Source organism: Homo sapiens, chromosome 2 (genome assembly GCF_000001405.40).
Source record: "Homo sapiens chromosome 2, GRCh38.p14 Primary Assembly".
NCBI lineage: Eukaryota > Metazoa > Chordata > Mammalia > Primates > Hominidae > Homo > Homo sapiens.
The window spans coordinates 132,595,604-132,613,235 of record NC_000002.12 but is presented as its reverse complement, the minus strand read 5'-3'; the positions used below and the strand labels follow the sequence as shown (position 1 = coordinate 132,613,235).

At 42.1% G+C, this 17,632-nt stretch overlaps 1 protein-coding gene across 1 annotated transcript in view, besides 1 other annotated feature; it reads right to left on the bottom strand.

Moving 5' to 3' along the window:
* Positions 1 to 17,632, bottom strand: part of GPR39 (G protein-coupled receptor 39) — a 229,778-nt gene that overhangs the window by 33,347 nt on the left and 178,799 nt on the right. The gene's annotated exons all lie outside the window — the stretch shown is intronic.
* Positions 7,345 to 7,901: an enhancer, noted in NCBI's record as "NANOG-H3K4me1 hESC enhancer chr2:133362908-133363464 (GRCh37/hg19 assembly coordinates)". NCBI's record gives its function as "activates a minimal SCP1, AML or CMV promoter by ChIP-STARR-seq in primed H9 embryonic stem cells {active_cell/tissue: H9 hESC(primed)}" and the evidence as "EXISTENCE:reporter gene assay evidence [ECO:0000049][PMID:30033119]".

Here is a 17,632-nt window from a genome sequence, read left to right as displayed (position 1 = left end):
CAACAAGAAATAAAAAGCAAAATGATTGGAAAGGAGGAAATAAAACCCTCATTAGTCACACGTTACATGATCATATACAGGAAACCCAAAAGCATCTATGGAAAAACTGTTGAAATTAATGTGAATTTAGCAAAGTCCCTGAACACAAAGCCAATTTTAAAATGGTACAGTTCATAATAGCATTTTAAAATATGGATATCTAGGAATAAATCTTTAAAATGTCACCAAGACCTCTACATTGAAAAGCATAAAACCTTAATAACAGAAATTTTTAAAGCCTAAATGAACAGGGGTATACCATGTCCATGGTTAGGAAACTCGAGGTTACAAACATTTAAATTCCTCCTAGATAGATTTTAGATCAATGAAAATCCTAGCACATATTTTGTAGACATTTACACTCCGATTCTAAAATTTATGTAGAAATGCAAACAGCCAAAATAGTGTTTAAGATGAAGAATGATGATAAAGACTTATACTACCAGCTATCATGACGTATTATAAAGTTACAATAATGAAGATGGTGTGATATTAGCACAAAAATAAACTGAGCAACAGAGGATCTAGAAATATATCTGTACATATAAGGTCACCTGATTTATGGCACAGTGACACTTTAGAACCATAGGTGAAGAAGTGGCTTTTCAGTATGTGGTGCTTGATCAATGGCAATCTCCAAAGGGCAGACATTAATTTGTGCCTAACCTGACACCATACACAAAAGTCAATTCTGGAAGGAGTGCAGATCTAAGTGTGAAAGATAGCTTGTCAGAAAAAAAGCATAGAACGTGGTCTTGCTTTGAAGTAAGCAAAGAGTTCTTTGCAGGAACTGATTAAAATAAGAGCTGATTAAAACCACAGTGTCAAAAAATGTAAAATGCACCTTTCATGTCACAAAAGAACAAATTATTCAAGACTGAGGGGAGGGGGAGGCTGTTGAGGGGGTGTCAAAAGAGCAGAAACCATGGAGGGAAGAGATACATGAGTCCAGGGGAAGCTCCTGAGATGGAGAGCAAATTTCAATTTGATTCTACAAAGGAAGGAAGGCTGAGCAAGGTGAAAAGATTAAGATGTTTGGGTCTTGCTTCTTGGAGCAAAAAATTGTCTGGCCTGAGCGTTTAGAACTTAACATGATGATTTAGAAAACTCAGTTCAGGGCACTGCAATGCTGGATGGATGGAGAGAGACATGTAAACAACCATAAAGAGCTTCTGGGCAAAGATAAATGCACGCTGAACTCACATGTTTGCTTGGCTTTTTCTGCAATATTAAGTATGGGTGTAGATGAGAAGCTCCGTTTCAGTCATAGGGCATTCAATTTATTCAGCATGATAAAGGCTAATGCCTCACATTAACACTTCACTAACTGCATTTAAGGAAGAGAACTATGAGATGTTTACTACATGTAGATGCCCACAGAAGGAAATTACTTTAGAACAAATGCAAGTCAATCAAAAAAGAAAGAAAGAAATTTACACTGTATAATCTCCATCCCAGATGCTAAAGGAACAAGGATGTGGGTGTTCTCACTGTTGAGTGGCATTACCAGATAAAGTTTCTGGAAAAGGGTTGCTTTGAGCCATGAAGCTCCACTTTTTTTTTTTTTTCTGCAAATCAAACTCCAGGTCTTCAAGCATCCTTTGGAGCAGTTTCCTAGAAGAAAATTGGTCATAACAACCACAAGCAATGGACATGCTTAATTGAACCAAGCTGAAATATGCAAATAGTTTAGTATCTTCCCAGCCTTCTGGAGCTTACTGATTTCTCGCCTAAATTTGCACTTGCTCTGTCACTTGAAAACAAAAACGGAATCAGGTGATAGATGACCTCTAAAGGACGGCAGTGAGAAAGAGTGCTTTACCTAAGTTACTCTCAACATGCCAACTTGGCCATTAATCTTCACCACCTGGCGTGGTTAGGAATCTTTGGCAGCCAAGTAAAAGACGCCTAATAAATCTAGAAGCCAGTCCTTCTTCAGCCCTTACATTTGCAAGCAAAGAAACGTCAGACAGTGCAGCCACCAGTGAGGCAAACTGGAAGTGACAAATTTTCCTGCACTGTGTTCTCCCCCAGAGAATTAAAAAGGGAACACTATGTCCGAACTCAGAACACGGGGAAGTTGGGTGCTTCAAAATTCTGCAGATTGTGCACAGTGAGGTAGATAGTGTGGCAGAAATGGCTGACTGGACCATAGGGAGACCACATTTCTCAGCCTCCCAGGAGATTGAGTGTGGCCATGTGGCCTAACCAATGAAATGAAGGTGGAAGTGATTGTTGCTCCTCCTCTGGCCCTAGCCCTAGAAATGTCCCACACCTATTTATTACTCCATGCCCTTTTCCCTTCCAGCATGCTGATTCAGAGGAGCTCAGGGGCCTTGGAAGCCATGAGTTGATGATGACAGAGCTCCAAGGTGGAAAGATCCTAGATTTCTTCTTCTTTTTTTTTTTTTTTTTTTTTGGAGACAGAGTCTCGCTCTGTTGCCCAGGCTGGAGTGCAATGGTGCAATCTTGGCTCACTGCAACCTCTGCCTCCCAGGTTCAAGTGATTCTCCTTCCTCAGCCTCCTGAGTAGCTGGGACTACAGGTACGTGCCACCACACCTGGCTAATTTTTGTATTTTTAGTAGAAACAGGGTTTCACCGCGTTGGCCACACTGGTCTTGAACTCCTGACCTCAAGTGATCCACCCACCTCGGCTTCCCAAAGTGCTAAGATTACAGATGTGAGCCACTGTGCCCAGCCAAAAGATCCTAGATTTCTGAATCATCACTTAAGGAAGCCACCTGCCAATCTGTCATTTCACTTTGGATGTTACATGAGTGGAATATAATCTTCTCTCAAGCCATCATACATGATACATTTTGGAGTTGCATGCTACAGCAGCTAGTGTCATCTTAATTAATGCTTCATGTTCTTGTGTGATGACTACGCCTAGGAAGTATGGGTGATTTGACACCTGTGACACTGAAGCCCAGGCCATTCTGGACCAGTTAGCATTGAACAAAAGAACAAACCACCAGAAGCATGTAAGTATTTAGATTCTCTATGTGGACTTGATAGAGGATCTGTGACCAAAAGGGTGAGGTATTCCTATTCATTCAGCAAACTGTGGATGAGACAGATAAGTAACCAGACCATTCCATGCATGCAATAGTTATGATAGAATCACTGACCGAGTCTTGCAAAAGTCAGAAAAGACTTTCCAGGTAAGGAATGTCTAAACTGAGTCTTGGCAAATGAACAGGCAGGTACCAAGCAGAGACAGAAGTTGGGGAAGGCTTTGCAGAACTAGGAAACTTGGTTTGCGCTAAGTTACAAAGCTGGAAGGTCAGGCTGGCTGTAGTCAGAGGTGACAATGGAGAGGCACTCTAAAACAAGGACACAAAGGAAGTACCTCTGACACCAGGTTGAAGGGTATGACCCTTGCTCCTCTTGTCTTGAGGTTGAGCGGGAAAGACTGGGACCCAGATTTGTTTTGAACATGTCAGAAGCAGAGCAAAAGGCAGAGGGTCTTTTGGCAGACAGCAGTGACAAGGCCCCAGCCAGAAGGGGACTGCAGTGATTCTGCCCCAGTATGAGGAAGGATGGCTAAACTCACAATGAGAAGCCCAGAGTCAGCTGGCATTCAATATATCATCAGAAGCTCCTTGTGCTGGAGAGAGGCTGCAAGGGGCCTTTGCATCCCTGCCTAGGAAGCCATCTAGAATAGTAATTAAGAACACTGACTTAGGAGTTCAACTCAACCCCAGTTGCACCCCTCGGTTTCCAACTGTGCAACTTTGTATAAGTGATTTCACCTCTCTGACTCTCCGTTTTCTCATCTTTAATGATTGGGGTAATACCACCATTCTCCAGGTTTTACGTGAGCCAGAGTACATGAAGCACACACACAGCACAATACCTGGCACGGAGCAAGTGCTAAGTAAATAGTCCCTCTGAGCACTCTAAGAAAAGCACCTGGCCTGACAAGAATAGCCAGGGACACAGCTGGCAATGAGGAAGAAGAAACCTACCTCTTCCTTTCCATCCCCATTCTTATCATCTGGCAGAGTACAACACATCTGAGATTTCTCTTAGGGGCCCATGGCCGCGTACCTACAATCTATTATCTGCTGTCGTGTACCCTCCTGAAGCTGAGCTTCAAATAAAACATCCCGGGCACCTTTGTACAATGTCACACACTGGAAAACATCCTCTCTCACTGCTCTCTGAACAACAGCACCCCCTCCCCATTTATTTGTTTGTCCATCTATTTATTTCTTTATTTTGCAGGCCCATTTGGCCTTGTGATGTTGGCAGGTCTCCTGAAACACTGCTGAGAGATCAATCATGAAAACCCAGATCCTCACTGAGGCCCTCAGTAATGAGCGACCACATGCCAGGAAAATGCCATCTCAAGTGCTCATTGATTCTGCCCGCCCTGCTCCCGCACCCCACCCCAGCTTTGCAGCGGAGGGGGCTAATGGCTACTTAAAGGTGAGCTGACCCCAGATGCTCTCAGAGCCCTAGCAGGGGCCCTAGGGTGACTGAAATGGCTGAGAACTGAATCAATGTGGGTCTGTGGTTGTTCTGCCACATGCCAAGCCCTGCCAGGCTACTTTATTGTTTGCAGGGTTCCAAGAAGCAGCGGCATCTGTACCTGCTTAGCAGTGGCCAGCATGACATCTTGCCAGCCTGTGACACGGCCACTCAGCAGGCCGGGCTTTGACTGTAAACAGCTATTTGACAGATGACAAGATTTTCTAGAGCCGAGTCAAAAAGGAAACAGTGGGACTGAGACCTTCAGAGGAGAGATCCCGACAGCAAGGAGCTGACACAATTGTGCCTGGAAATGACAGGGAGCCGGGGGATGTGTATTCACAAGATGTGCAGGGGGGTTCTCCCTATGACAGCTGGGAATTGTGCAGCTCATGGACTGAATTTGTTCAACAATGTACCTGTTCTAACTGGTGCCACCAACATGCCCCAATACTGCTTTCTTAGAAATTGATTTCAAGGAGCAGGTGTTTTATTATTGCGCTTGTCATTAGTATTATTTTATTTTCGATGTCATTACAACAAATGTTGAAAATCAAACTGATCAAATGCATCATTGTCAGCAAATGACTTTTTAAGAGTTGGGTATTTTTTTCTTTTTTCTTTGCCCCTGAAATTGCTGATCTTCCAGTAGGAGAAAAATGGAAGATTTAATTGCATGGAACTCAGTATCATATTTCCCCTCTCCAGAGGGTTCATTATAGGCCCAAAACCAGAGAATTGCTCTGCCACCTCTTGCCTTCTTTTCTAGCTATTTCTGGGTTTTAATAATTATTCATTAATTGCACACTATGATAAGATCCTCACTGTTTTGAAACATTCTCCCTCTGGCCTCCCTACTATTAAAGACCCTGATTGCCTGCCAAGAGCGTAAAATTAAAAATCAAAGCGCTACCTCTGAAAGGTTTAATACGTGCCATATTGAAAGAGTTTTTGCAGCTTACAGCCATTTTATTGCATCTGCAGCTTGAGGGAAAGTGGAGTTCTATGTTGAAATTGTTCTCCTTTGAAACATAAGTCAACAGGACCAGCACTGGGGGAGTTTTTCTCACAGCTGTTATCTCCTTTGGATGAGAGGTGTATTCCCCCAGATAAAATTTGCCTCTTGCTGGTGTCAGACGTCAAAGATAACTTTAGGCTGCAGGAGAGAACCTCCCTCAAGGTTCTCTAAATTATAGACAAGCATCAATTTCAAAGGGCAAATCCCACTCAGGCTGGCCCCCAAGGCTATTAAAAATAGAATCCCAGACATTGTCTTGCAAAGCCTAGAGCTACCCCACCTACTCTCCTCCCTCTAACTCTGGATTTCATACTCCTTAAGGGAAGAATAAGAGACTGACTTTATGATCAACCCAATAAATTTTACACAGGGGCTTATTCAACATAGGATGAATGAGTAAAGGAATGAACAAATGTAGAAACTTAGCAAAGGACAGGAAAAGGACAAGCTAGAATTACTTTTAAAAAAACCAAATATCTTGTAAATTTTGCAATTCCTGTCACTCACTGAAATATGCCAGAGCAGGCTGATACTTGAGATCCCAAATGACACCCAAATTACCTTTTCATGTGAATACTCCCTGCTTCCTTTTCATTCTACACCATGGAAGCTTTCTGATCCATATTACCCGCCCCCAGCCTTTCAATACGTTTCTCAGATTAAAGAGTTAGTGGGGGAAAATATATATCAAGATCAGAGTGAGATAACACCCAACTATCTTCCCTGAAGGTGGCAAACCACTGCCTTTGGAAAAGAGTGGCAGGGTCCTCTGCTTTTGGAGCCTACTTCTCCCTTGGTTAGGGGCAACGCGGACTCCAGGGGGAGTTCTGCCAGGGGGACTTGGAGGTTAGTTTGGCCATTGAGCGGCCCGACCACAGGGGAAGACCACCTTCCCGCTCTGTCCCCCTACCAGCTCCCCATCCATCTTGCTAAGAGCCACCTTCAACCACTCAATAAAACCTTGCACTCACCCTCTAAGCCCTCGTGTGATCTAATTTTTTCGGCACGCTGGGCAAGAACTTGGGATACAGAAAGCCCTCTGCCCTTAGGATACTGCAAAGGATCTAACTGAACTAACACAAGCCAACTGCAGACAGCAAAGCTGAAGGAGCACACTGTAATACACACCCACTTGGGCTTGTAAATACTTATCCCTAGATGCTGCTATGGGTTGGAGCCCAGAAGGGCTACCCACAACCTCTGCACTTGCCCATCTTCATGCTCCCCCTTGGGGTTTGGGCAGTGTGGCACCAAAGAAGTGAGCCACACCCCTGTTGCACACCCTGCAAGAGGGATAAAAGAACTCTGTTTCACTTTTATAAATACTTGCTGCTAGCTGAACATTGAGCTAAGCACTTGGTATGTTTTATTTCAAAATTCACTCTCTCCATAAGTCTAAAAAGATTCTATTTCAAAGCCCTTCTTACAAGTGAGGAAACTGAGGCACAGAGAGGCTCAATAAATTACCTACGTTGATAGGGCTGTTGATTGTACTTAACCAGAACTTTACCTTTGATCTGTGGGACTAGAACACTTCTTATTCTGCATCATATTAGAATCATGATTTTGCAGGTCCTTGGCCAGGTCCAGGAAGAGGAAGCTGGTGGAGGAAGCAGCAGGTTGCAGACTAGACCCTCCTCCCGCTTGCTGCTCTGCAGATTCTCCCCCCACCCACCTGGGCTCCTGCTTCTCAGGGTGAGGCTTTGCATTCTCAGGCGGGGAGGCCATGGCTCCACCAGCAAGCCCCAGCTTCAGATGGCAAGCCCACTAAATGAAAGTGACAGCCAAGCCCATGAATACGTTTGTAAAACGACAGCTCAGCATCTCAATTTAACTCTAACAAAATTCAATTTCACTCAAGGAATGGTCTCCCTTTGGCCTCTGCTACCCTGCCCTGATGTCTCTCTTATTTAAATGTGTGCAGCTGCAATCTTCTGCTGCTCAGCCGACTGAACACCCCTCAGGGATTCTTAATGGGGAGCAAGGCACTGCTGGATTCATTAAATCCCACTGCCAAATAGCATCCGTCCTCACCCAGGAATGCTCGGTAGGAGATACATTATAAAAACCACGCATAACAGAGGGAAAGATAAGCCCATGAGATTCCTGCGGGCACCCATCTTCCCTTGTATGAATGACTGCAGCTTCCCAGGCCAGCGAGAAGCAGGAAGGAACAGAGAGAAAGTGAGCAGACGTGAGTTCCCTGGACCTTTCTGGAGAGCAGGGATGCTTCTGGGGCCATCAATGAGATGTTCATTTGGGCTTTGCCAAGAAGCACCAGGCCACTGAGCAGACTAATGGGCCGCATGAATGGCTCACTCCACATCCTCGTTCCCACACATACGGCTTTGATCATGGCTTTCCTCCATGCCTGGGATGTCTACTCATCTCCTCTTACTCCAGCCTACCCACATCCACTTCATTTACCTCTTTCTGATGCCACCTTCTCCCTGAAGCCACATCAACCTAACCTTTGTCATGATCAACTTGCAGAACTACAATATGCACATCCAACAGCCTAACGGTGATAGGCACAGGGTCTGGTGTCGGGCTGTCTGAGGTCATGTCCCAGCTCTACCATTTATCTTATGTGACCTTGGGAATGTTTCTTTCCTGAGCACTCATTGACTGTACCTCAATTTCTCCAACAGTAAAATAAGGCAAACAGTACCTATATCACATGTATCTTATAAAGAGTAAATGAATATGTAAAGCACTTTGTATGATATCTGACATGTGGTAAGTACTCAGTAAGTGTTCATTGTTATTGTTATGTAGTTTCATTTCTTACCTTCTATATCCAGCCATCCACGTATCCTCAGCTTCAGCCACATTAAGCTGCTCCTTACTTTCCAAGCACCATGCATTTTTCATGTTTCTACTTCTTTCAGTTCTCTCTGCCTAAAACTCTCTCCTGCTGCTTCTCACCTAGCAAACTCCTATTTGTCTGCAAAGTCTAATTCAAATGTCCCTTTCTCTGAGATATATGCCTTAAGCAGAGCAGATAGAATGACTTGGCCTCCTTTTTATATGTTCATAAGACTTTATATATAACCTTCTATAAAAGCAGCACTTATCCTTCTGCTTTATGGTTAGTTGTTTAAAAGTCTGTCTCTGCCATCAGATAGCAGACCTCTCAAGAGACAAGTCATAACCGTCTTTTTGTCTGCAGTACCCAGCATGGGACTGTATGCTGTGTTTAATTGGATCCTTCTGTGTAGAGGTTGTATTCTCTCCCCAGGTCTGTTGGCTTGTGTGATGCCAAGGCCAGTGTCTTTTATGCCCTTATAGCTCAGAACTCAAAGATTTCTTTGGTGATAATGAATACCCTCCACAGCCATGGCTTCTGATAGGCAGTTCTCAGAGCTTCGGTAGTTTAAACAAAGAACTTGCCTTTCTTTTTTTTTAAATCATTCTGGCAAGGGGATAGACATCTATCATGTGCCCAGATATGAGTTGCCTGCTGAGGGAAGACAGAAGGAGAAAGTTAAGAAAATGACAAGACTAGTGACCTTGTGAAGTGGTGTACAGAACTGAGAGCCAGACCTGACCTTCTCATGTGGGATAGGTTATCTCACACATGCTTGGAACAACCTGGGACTCACAGTAGGGCAAGCATGTCTCGGTTAAGGAAAAGGATCTTGGAGGTAGGAGTCCTTGGTTGGGTTGTGAAGTATATTTATGCAAACCTCCACAGTCAGCACAAACACACATGAACACACACATGTTCACATCCACAAATGTGCACATACATTTTCCTGTCCCTCCCACTCCCCACACCCTGCACTCTGCCATCACTATAATGCATTGTTTAAAAATCAGGCCTAAATAACACAGTGTCTTTTCTGTCCTTAGCATAAGTCAGTGGCCTTGAGTCCTTCAAAGGCTGGAGGCATGAAAATGGTTTCTTAAAAAGAATGTTGACATTTTCAGCTTTTGGTGAATAGCTCCTGACTTCAGTGGATTTTAGTAACCCATTTCGCACACGCACGCCCACAAATGTACACCCTTTGTGATCACCTTTTCTCCTCTTTTTAGTTGACATGTAATAATTGTACATATTTATGAGATACAGAGTGATAGTTCAGTACATGTATATAGTATGTAATGATCAAATCAGGGAAATTAGCATGCTTATCACCTCAAACATTTCTCATTTCTTTGTGTAGGGAACTTTCCAAATCCACTCTTCCAGCTTGTTGAAAACATACGATATATCATTAACTATAGTCATCCTACACTGCTATAGAACACTAGAACTCATACCTCCTCTCTAGCTGTAATTTTGTATCCATTAGCCAACTTCTCCAGATCCTCTCCTCCCCTTATCAGACTCTTGATCACCACAATTCCATTCTCTACTTCTATGATGTCAATTTTTTTTATCTCCCACATGAGTGAGAACATGTGGTACTTGGTTTTCTGTGCCCGATATTTCACTTAACTTCTTCCAGTTCCATTCATGTTAAAGTGAATGAGAGAATTTTATTTTTTTGTAGCTAAATAGTATTCCATTGCATATATACATCACATTTTCCTTATCCATTCATCTTTTTATAAAAATTTTGGTTGATTCTATATCTTGGCTATTGTGACTAGTGCTGCAATAACCACAGAAGTGCAGATCTCTCTTTGATAACCTGAATTCCTTTCCTTTGGATAAATACCCAGTATTGGGATTTCTGGGTCATACGGTAGTTCTATTTTTAGTTATTTGAGAAACCTCCATACTGTTTTTCATATAGCTGTACTAATTTACATGATCACCAACAGTATGTCAGAGTTCTCTTTCCTTTACAATCTCACTAGCATTTGTTTTTTTTTTTTTTCTCTTTTTAAGCCATTCTAGGCTAAAAAGGTCTCTGATCTCTGTGGTTTTGGTTTGTATTTCCCTGATGATTAGTGATGTTGAATTTTTTTCATATACTTATTGGCCACTTGTGTCTTTTTTTTTAGAGAAATGTCTATTCAAATCATTTGCCCATTTTACATCAGATTATTCAGTTTTTTGCTTTTGAGTTATTTGAATTCTTTGTAGATTCTGGATATTAGTCTCTTGCTGGATGTATAGTTTGCAAATATTTTCTCCCATTCTACAGGTTTTCTCTTCACCCACTTCATTGTTTCCTTTGCTGTGCAGAAGCTTTTTAGTTTGATATAGTTCCATTTGCCTATTTTTTGTTGTCTGTGCTTTTGAAGTCTTACCCAAAAAATCTTTGCCTAGACCAACATCCTGAAGCATTTCCCCTATGTGTTCTTCTAGTAGTTTTATAGTTTCAGGTCTTGCATTTATTTAAATCTTTATCCAATTTTGAATTAATTTTTGTATATGGTAGGAGATAAGAGCCTAGTTTCATTTTTCTGCATTTGGATATCTAGTTTTCCCAGCACCATTTATTGAAGAGAGTGTCCTTTCCCCAGTGTGTATTCTTGGCACCTTTGCTGAAAATCAGTTGGCTGTAAATATATGGATTTATTTCTGGATTCTCTTGTTATGTTGGTCTATATGTCTGTTTTTATACCATTATGCTGTGTTGGTTACTATAGCTTTGTGGTATATTTTGAAGTCAGGTAGTATGATGCTCCCTGCTCTGTTATTTTTGCTCAGTATTGCTTTGGCTATTTGGGGTCTTTTGTGGTTCCATACTAATTTAAGGTTTTTTTTTTTCTATTTCTGTGAAGAATGTCATTGGTATTTTGATAGAGATCTGTAGCTTGCTTTGGGTAGTATTGTCATTTTAACAATATTCTTTTAATCCATGAGCATGGGTTATCTTTCCAATTTTTTTGTCTTCAAGTTCTTTCATCAGTGTTTTGTAGTTTTCATTGCAGATATCTTTAGCCTTTTTGGTTAAATGCATTTCTAACTATTTTTCATAGCTATTATATATGAGATTGCTTTCTTGATTTCTTTTTCAGCTAGGTCGTTATTGGTGTATAAAGACACTACTGATTTTTGCATGTTTTTATCCTGCAACTTTATTGAATTTGTTTATCATTTCTAAGTTTTTTGGTGAAGTCTTTAGGCTTTCCTATATGTAAGACCATGTTGTCTGCAAAGAGGGACAATTTGATTGCCTTTTTTTCAGTGTATATGCTTTTTCTTTTATCTAATTACTCTGGTGAGGACTTTCAATACAATGTTGAAAAAGAGTGGTACAAGTGGGCATCCTTGTCTTGTTCCAGTTCAGTATGATATATGCGGTGGGACTGTCATATATGGCTTTTATTATGTTGAGGTATGTTTCTTCTATACCTAATGTTTTTTAGAGTTTTTATCATGATGGAATGTTAAATTGTGTTAAATACTTTTTCTGCATCTATTGAAATGACCATGTGGTTTTTATCCTTCATTCTCTTGATGTTGTGTATCACATTTATTGATTTGTGTGTGTTAAACCATCCTTACGTCCCTGGAATGAATCCCATTTGATCAGGGTGTATTATCTTTTTGATGTGCTGTTAGATTTGGTTTGCTAGTATTTTGTTGAGGATTTTTGCTTCTATGTTCATCAAGAATATTCACCTAGAGGTGTGTGTACTTGTCTGGTTTGGTATCAGGGTAAATCCTGGCCTCATAAAATCAATTAGGAAGAATTCCTGCCTCTTCAATTTTGGGGAAATAGTTGGAGAAGAATTGGTGTTAGTTCTGATTTAAAAGTTTGGTGGGCACATGTTCTTACTTACAAGCAAGAGCTAAACTATGGATATGCAGGGGCATATTCTGGACACTGGAGATGCAGAGGAGGGAAGGTTGGAGGAGGGTGAGAGAAGAAAAATTACTTATTGGGTTCAATGTATAGTATTCAGATGACAGGTACACTAAAAGCCCAGACTTCACTACTGTACAATTCACCAATGTAAACAAAAACCACTTGTGCCCCTAAAGCTATTGATTTTTTTTTTTAAACAACAACAAAATAAGTTTGGTAGAATTCAGAAATAATGTGATCCAGTCCTGGTCTTTTCTTTGTTGGGAGACTTTTTATTACTGAGTCAATCTTGTTACTCATTGTTGGTCTGTTCAGGTTTTCTATTTCTTCTTATTTCAATCTTGGTAGGTTATATGTGTCCAGGAATTTATCTATTTTCTCTAGATTTTCAAATTTGTTGGCATGTAGTTGTTCATAATAGTCTTTAATGATCCCTTGTATTTCTGTGATATTAGTTGTAATGTCTCCTTTTTCATTTCTGGTTTGAGTCCTTCTTTTAGTCTAGCTAATGTTTTGTCAATTTTATCTTTTTAAAAAATGTTTCATTCATTGTTTGTATTTTTTCCTCTATTTTGTTTAGTTCTGCTCTCATCTTTATTTTCCTTTCCTTCTACTAATTTAGGTTTGTTTTGTTTTTGCTTTTCTAGTACATTGAGGTGCATTGTTAGGTTGTTTATTTGAAATCTGTCTACTTTTTAAATGTAAGCACTTATTACCATAAACTTCCCTCTTACCACTGTTTTTGCAGTATCCCATAGGTTTTGTATATTGTGTTTCTATTTTCATTCATTACGAGAAATGTTTTGATTTCCTCCTGAATTTTTCATAGACTCACTGGTTGTTCAGGGACATTTTGTTTAATATTCATGTATTTATACAGATTGTGATTACTTTTTCATAGGGCTTCTGCGTAGCCAAGATAATGGTAACCTCCAAAGTATAGACAAGCATGGATGGGCCCCCTTTGGGAGACTGAGCTATGATGTGGAGAGTCAATGTGGATGGACAGCATTTGCGGGTAGACACCCAGTATCTAAGAAGGATTCTTTCACTCATATCTCATCCATGAGCAGATCTGTGGTGTTATTAAGAGGGACTCCAAATGTCATTTTCCTGGGGAGATCACATCCACGGCAGGTCTAGCTTATCAAGGAGAGTTGGAGGAGCTGGATCCCAACCTCAGTTTACCAGCTTGAATGGTCTGCTGACACGCCATGATGGTCTTGCACTCCTCAACCCACTAGAAATCAGAGATGGCGGCAATTCACCAGCGCCCTCACTACCACACCTTGCTCCCATGCTTAATTTCACTGCAGAGCACAGTCCCTGAGTTCTGTTCCCTATCAATAATTAACTCATTCATATTTTGGTGATGAAGTATCAGAGTTGGAAGGGACTCAGGGACCACCTAAAATAGCTGCCATGGTGTTTGTTTTCCCCAGATGTAGACACTAAGTGATGCGAAGACTAGAATCTAAGCAGTCCAGAAATGGAACATTCACCTCGTGCAGAGAAAAATTCTCTCCCAGCTACAGACCCCACCTCTAGCCACGGTCAGTTGCCTCAAAAACTGTTGCAAAGGCAGACGGAGAGAGAACAGGATAGGGCAAAAAGCCAGCCCCACCCCTCTTCTGGAAAACACATCGAAACAAAGGTATCACCATGCTCTTCTGATTATAGGAAAGCAGAAGCATCTTTGAAATATGAAAGACAAATAGATGTTTCTTTGCTTTTTAAAAAGATATTTAAGAGTCCCAAAGAGAAGAAAATCCATAACCTCCCGCTGGAAAGTTGTTAAAAATATAATCCTCTCGTGCCTGGATTATCTGCCCAGCAGGAGCCGCTTCCTCCACCCCCTTTATAACTTAGACCCTTGAGAGCTCCTGGTTAAAGTAGAGAACACATAAACCATTTCACACAGGCATGAAAACAGTTTGGAGATCACCACCACCGCACCTCCACCCCCTTCCTGCCTCCTTGTCAACTAACCTTGATGGTTTTTGTTGTTGTTGCTGCTGTTTTATTTCCCTGCTACATCATTTTCCAGCAGCTCATCCCTTTCTTTCTCGTGCCTGGATGCTCTCCATGTGCCTGACCTGTGCCAATTACATTCTCGATGCTTTGAGGACAGGGACCTTGTTACATGTCATGGTGCTGCTCACATAAGGTCACAGGGCCCTAGACTTTCTAGCTCAGAGGGATCTCCGAGATTGACTGCCCAGTGCCTCTAGGATGCTGGTGTGGATTTTAGTCTGCCTAGTGTGGAATTCAGAGCTTCTGTAGAATTTCTAGGCTCCCTGGTGGACTGGGATGCTTGTGGAACTTTTCCATCTAGCCTGCCCTTCACATTTTAAAGGAGCAGCATAGCCTTTCCCCAGTGCCACATCTAGGAAGTGGCAAACCTAAACTCTAGAACAAGGAATTCAGTTGTCCTGGCCTCTCCATGGGCTTTTCACTCTACTGGTGTTCTTATCCCTGAGTAGCATTAGAATTGGGAGCCTTAAACAACAACAACAACAAAAAACCCCATTGCTTAAAAAAAAAAAAAAAAAAAAAGTTCACCTTAGACCAGCCAAATCAGAAGCTTTGGACATGGGCATCATTATCTTAAAAAAAAAAAAATCCCTTGGTGATTCTTATCCAACTCAAATTGAGAGCCATAGGCTTCCCTAGGTTACTCTCAGTTGAAACTGGTTTAACAAATACCCGGAAATAAAGTTCTTAAGTAAGAGGCTTTAAACCAATCTGTATGTAGCAGCCAGTGCCTAGATACTAACTAAATATAAGATCCAATTCCTGCAAGGAGAGCCAATTCTCAGCCTCAGAAGGAGCTGCCACCAACTTATCCTCCTGCCTTTGAGCTGGAGGCCAGGGTGCAGCAAATCAGGCTGCCCTTGCTTTGAGAAGCCAGCCCTGCATTTTCTGTGGCCCCGACTTGCAGCTGGTCAGTCTCAGGAACAAACAGCTACTGATGGATTAGCTGAGCTCAATGTGGCTGTGCTGGTTCAGCACTTCTCAGCACAGAATGACAAAGTCAAGGAGCCAGAGATGATCACTATGCATGGGTACTAGACTTTGGGTATGGGATCAGGAGACCCTGTGTGACCCACTATGGGGCAAGCAGATTCTCTCTCCTGGACTTTGAATTTCTGCCTAGTGGGTCAATAGTGTTTGGACTTCCCTACCCCTAGAACCTGGTAAATTTTCATCATCATTTTCATATTGCCTGTTTGACTTGGGTTCCCCTATCAGATATTCTTCAGCTGATTTATAAATGGTCCATGAACACATATATTATACAATGGTGAGACTACATGCCAAATGCCTATGGCTTTACAGTGTTTAGCAGGGCTCATTCCAGGTTAAGCCTGGTAAAAACTGCAGAATGTGAGGCAGGGCTTCCAAGAGTGCTTCTGGATCTGCTGCTTCCTTCTCTACTTGACAAGTGCTAGAAATTTTAGAGTCCACTGAGCAGGTGTTTGATTTGCTTCTGAGGTGTCCCCTACATGAAGTAAATTCCTTACTCTGTGTTCAGTGAAGAGACTGTCAAGGAACAGCCTGCTCCAGAGTCCCCAGTGCATCATCCCAACATGCCTGACAGAGAATGAGGTGGTGAAATCCAGAGCCAGGGAGAAGCTCAGAAGAAAGGGTTTGCAGAAGTTTAGAAGCTAGCACTGTTCTTGCTGCCCAGGCTGGGAAGCTGATGTTCTGGAAGCCAATGTAAGCAGAGCTGCCTGGATCAGGGGCACTTACCCTTTCCACATAGCCTGACCCCAACCCAAGCCAGCTTTCCACTTGGGTGTCTAGAAACTGGAAGCTCCAGTCCTTGGCTGTGCCTTTACTGTCTCTCTGCATTTAGGGTAGCTTAGATCCCATCCCAGTTCCCCATGCTACTCCTGTCCTCACCTCTCCTTCATTTTTGACCTGGACTCTTTATGGCCTTGAGGAAGAACAAAGGTCACAGGACCCACACTGGGAACTGACACAAGGAAAATGCTTTCCACTAAATGAAAAACGGAAACATCAGTTAAGCCACCTAGAGATAGCCACAGCAATATAAAGTTGGCTTTGCACAACAAACATGTTCAATCAAAAAGCCAGGCAATGGTTCTCAACCTGGGATATACATGGAAATCAACAGGGGATCTTTTTAGAAACATTTCTACCGAAGTTCCATTCCCAGAGATCCTGATTTAATTTGTCTAGGGTTCAGTTTGGTCATTGGGATGTTTTTAAAACTTCTCGGGTGATATAATGTTCCAAGCCAAGGCTAAGAAGCATTTGGGCAAAGGGACAGTGGAAAAATAGAGGTAGAGGCCACATGAGAGACAAAGAGTTGAAAAATAAAGATTGGGAGAAGGAGGGGAGGAAAGAAGAATTTCAGATTGGGATTTAAATCAAAGGAAGGTGAATGAAAAAAAGAGACACAAGGCAGGAAGGAGAATGGGACTGGGGAAAGGAATCAGACTGATGAAGAGCATGCAGGTGGCTGGGGGAAGGGACGAAGGCAGGGAGAAAGATAAGGGCACAAAAACAAAGAGAAAGCAAGTAAACTCAGAATAGATCCAGGTGAAAGAAGAGGAAGAACACCATTTATTGAGCACTTACTATGTGCTGGAGGCATTGCAAAACAAAGAGAGAGAAAAGGAAAAGGGGAGTAAGGAAAACAAAGCCCCTAGACATGGGCCACTGAGAGGAGAGAAAAGGAAGGGAATTTTCAGAGCAAAAACTAATGCAATTGAACAAACACATGCAACCTGTTCCAAAGAGCCCAGACAACAGCACTTTGTAGTCAATTTTAAAAAAATCTCAGTGGGGGCAATAAACCCAGGATTTTCTTTAAGCTTGGTCTCTTTCCTTCCGCATGCAATCGGCCACTAGCACCCTGAAGATGTTCTTCCCTGCACTGTGCTGGGGTGCAGGCCAGCTTGGAGAGCCAGTGGGGCTCAGGTGATCTGGGAGGAACTGCTTTTCCATAAGGGTGGGGGAGAGCTGGCTACACTAAAGAGTCCCAGCTCACTAAGGCTCCCTGACATGAGCTCTTACCAGCAGCTCCATTTTTGTTTCTACTCTGAAAAGAATCAAAAGAGAAGGTGTTGCCAAGGGAGCTCAAGAGCACGGTTATAATTAAAGTCTCCCTAGCACTTTCATTAGAAACCTGCTTTGGTGGTTTATTCCTCAGCAGTAAAATTGGAGCTGCTGCGCTGGTTCTCATGACACAGGGGCTTGGCAGGAACAGAAACACACTTTGATCACAACAAAAAATGGCACATTATGATGACTGAGCCAGAATGAAGGGTAAATGCTTCTGGATACTGAACAAGTTCCCCACTCTCCCCCAACACAGAATTATTCCATAATAAAATAAGTCACCTTCCATGCCT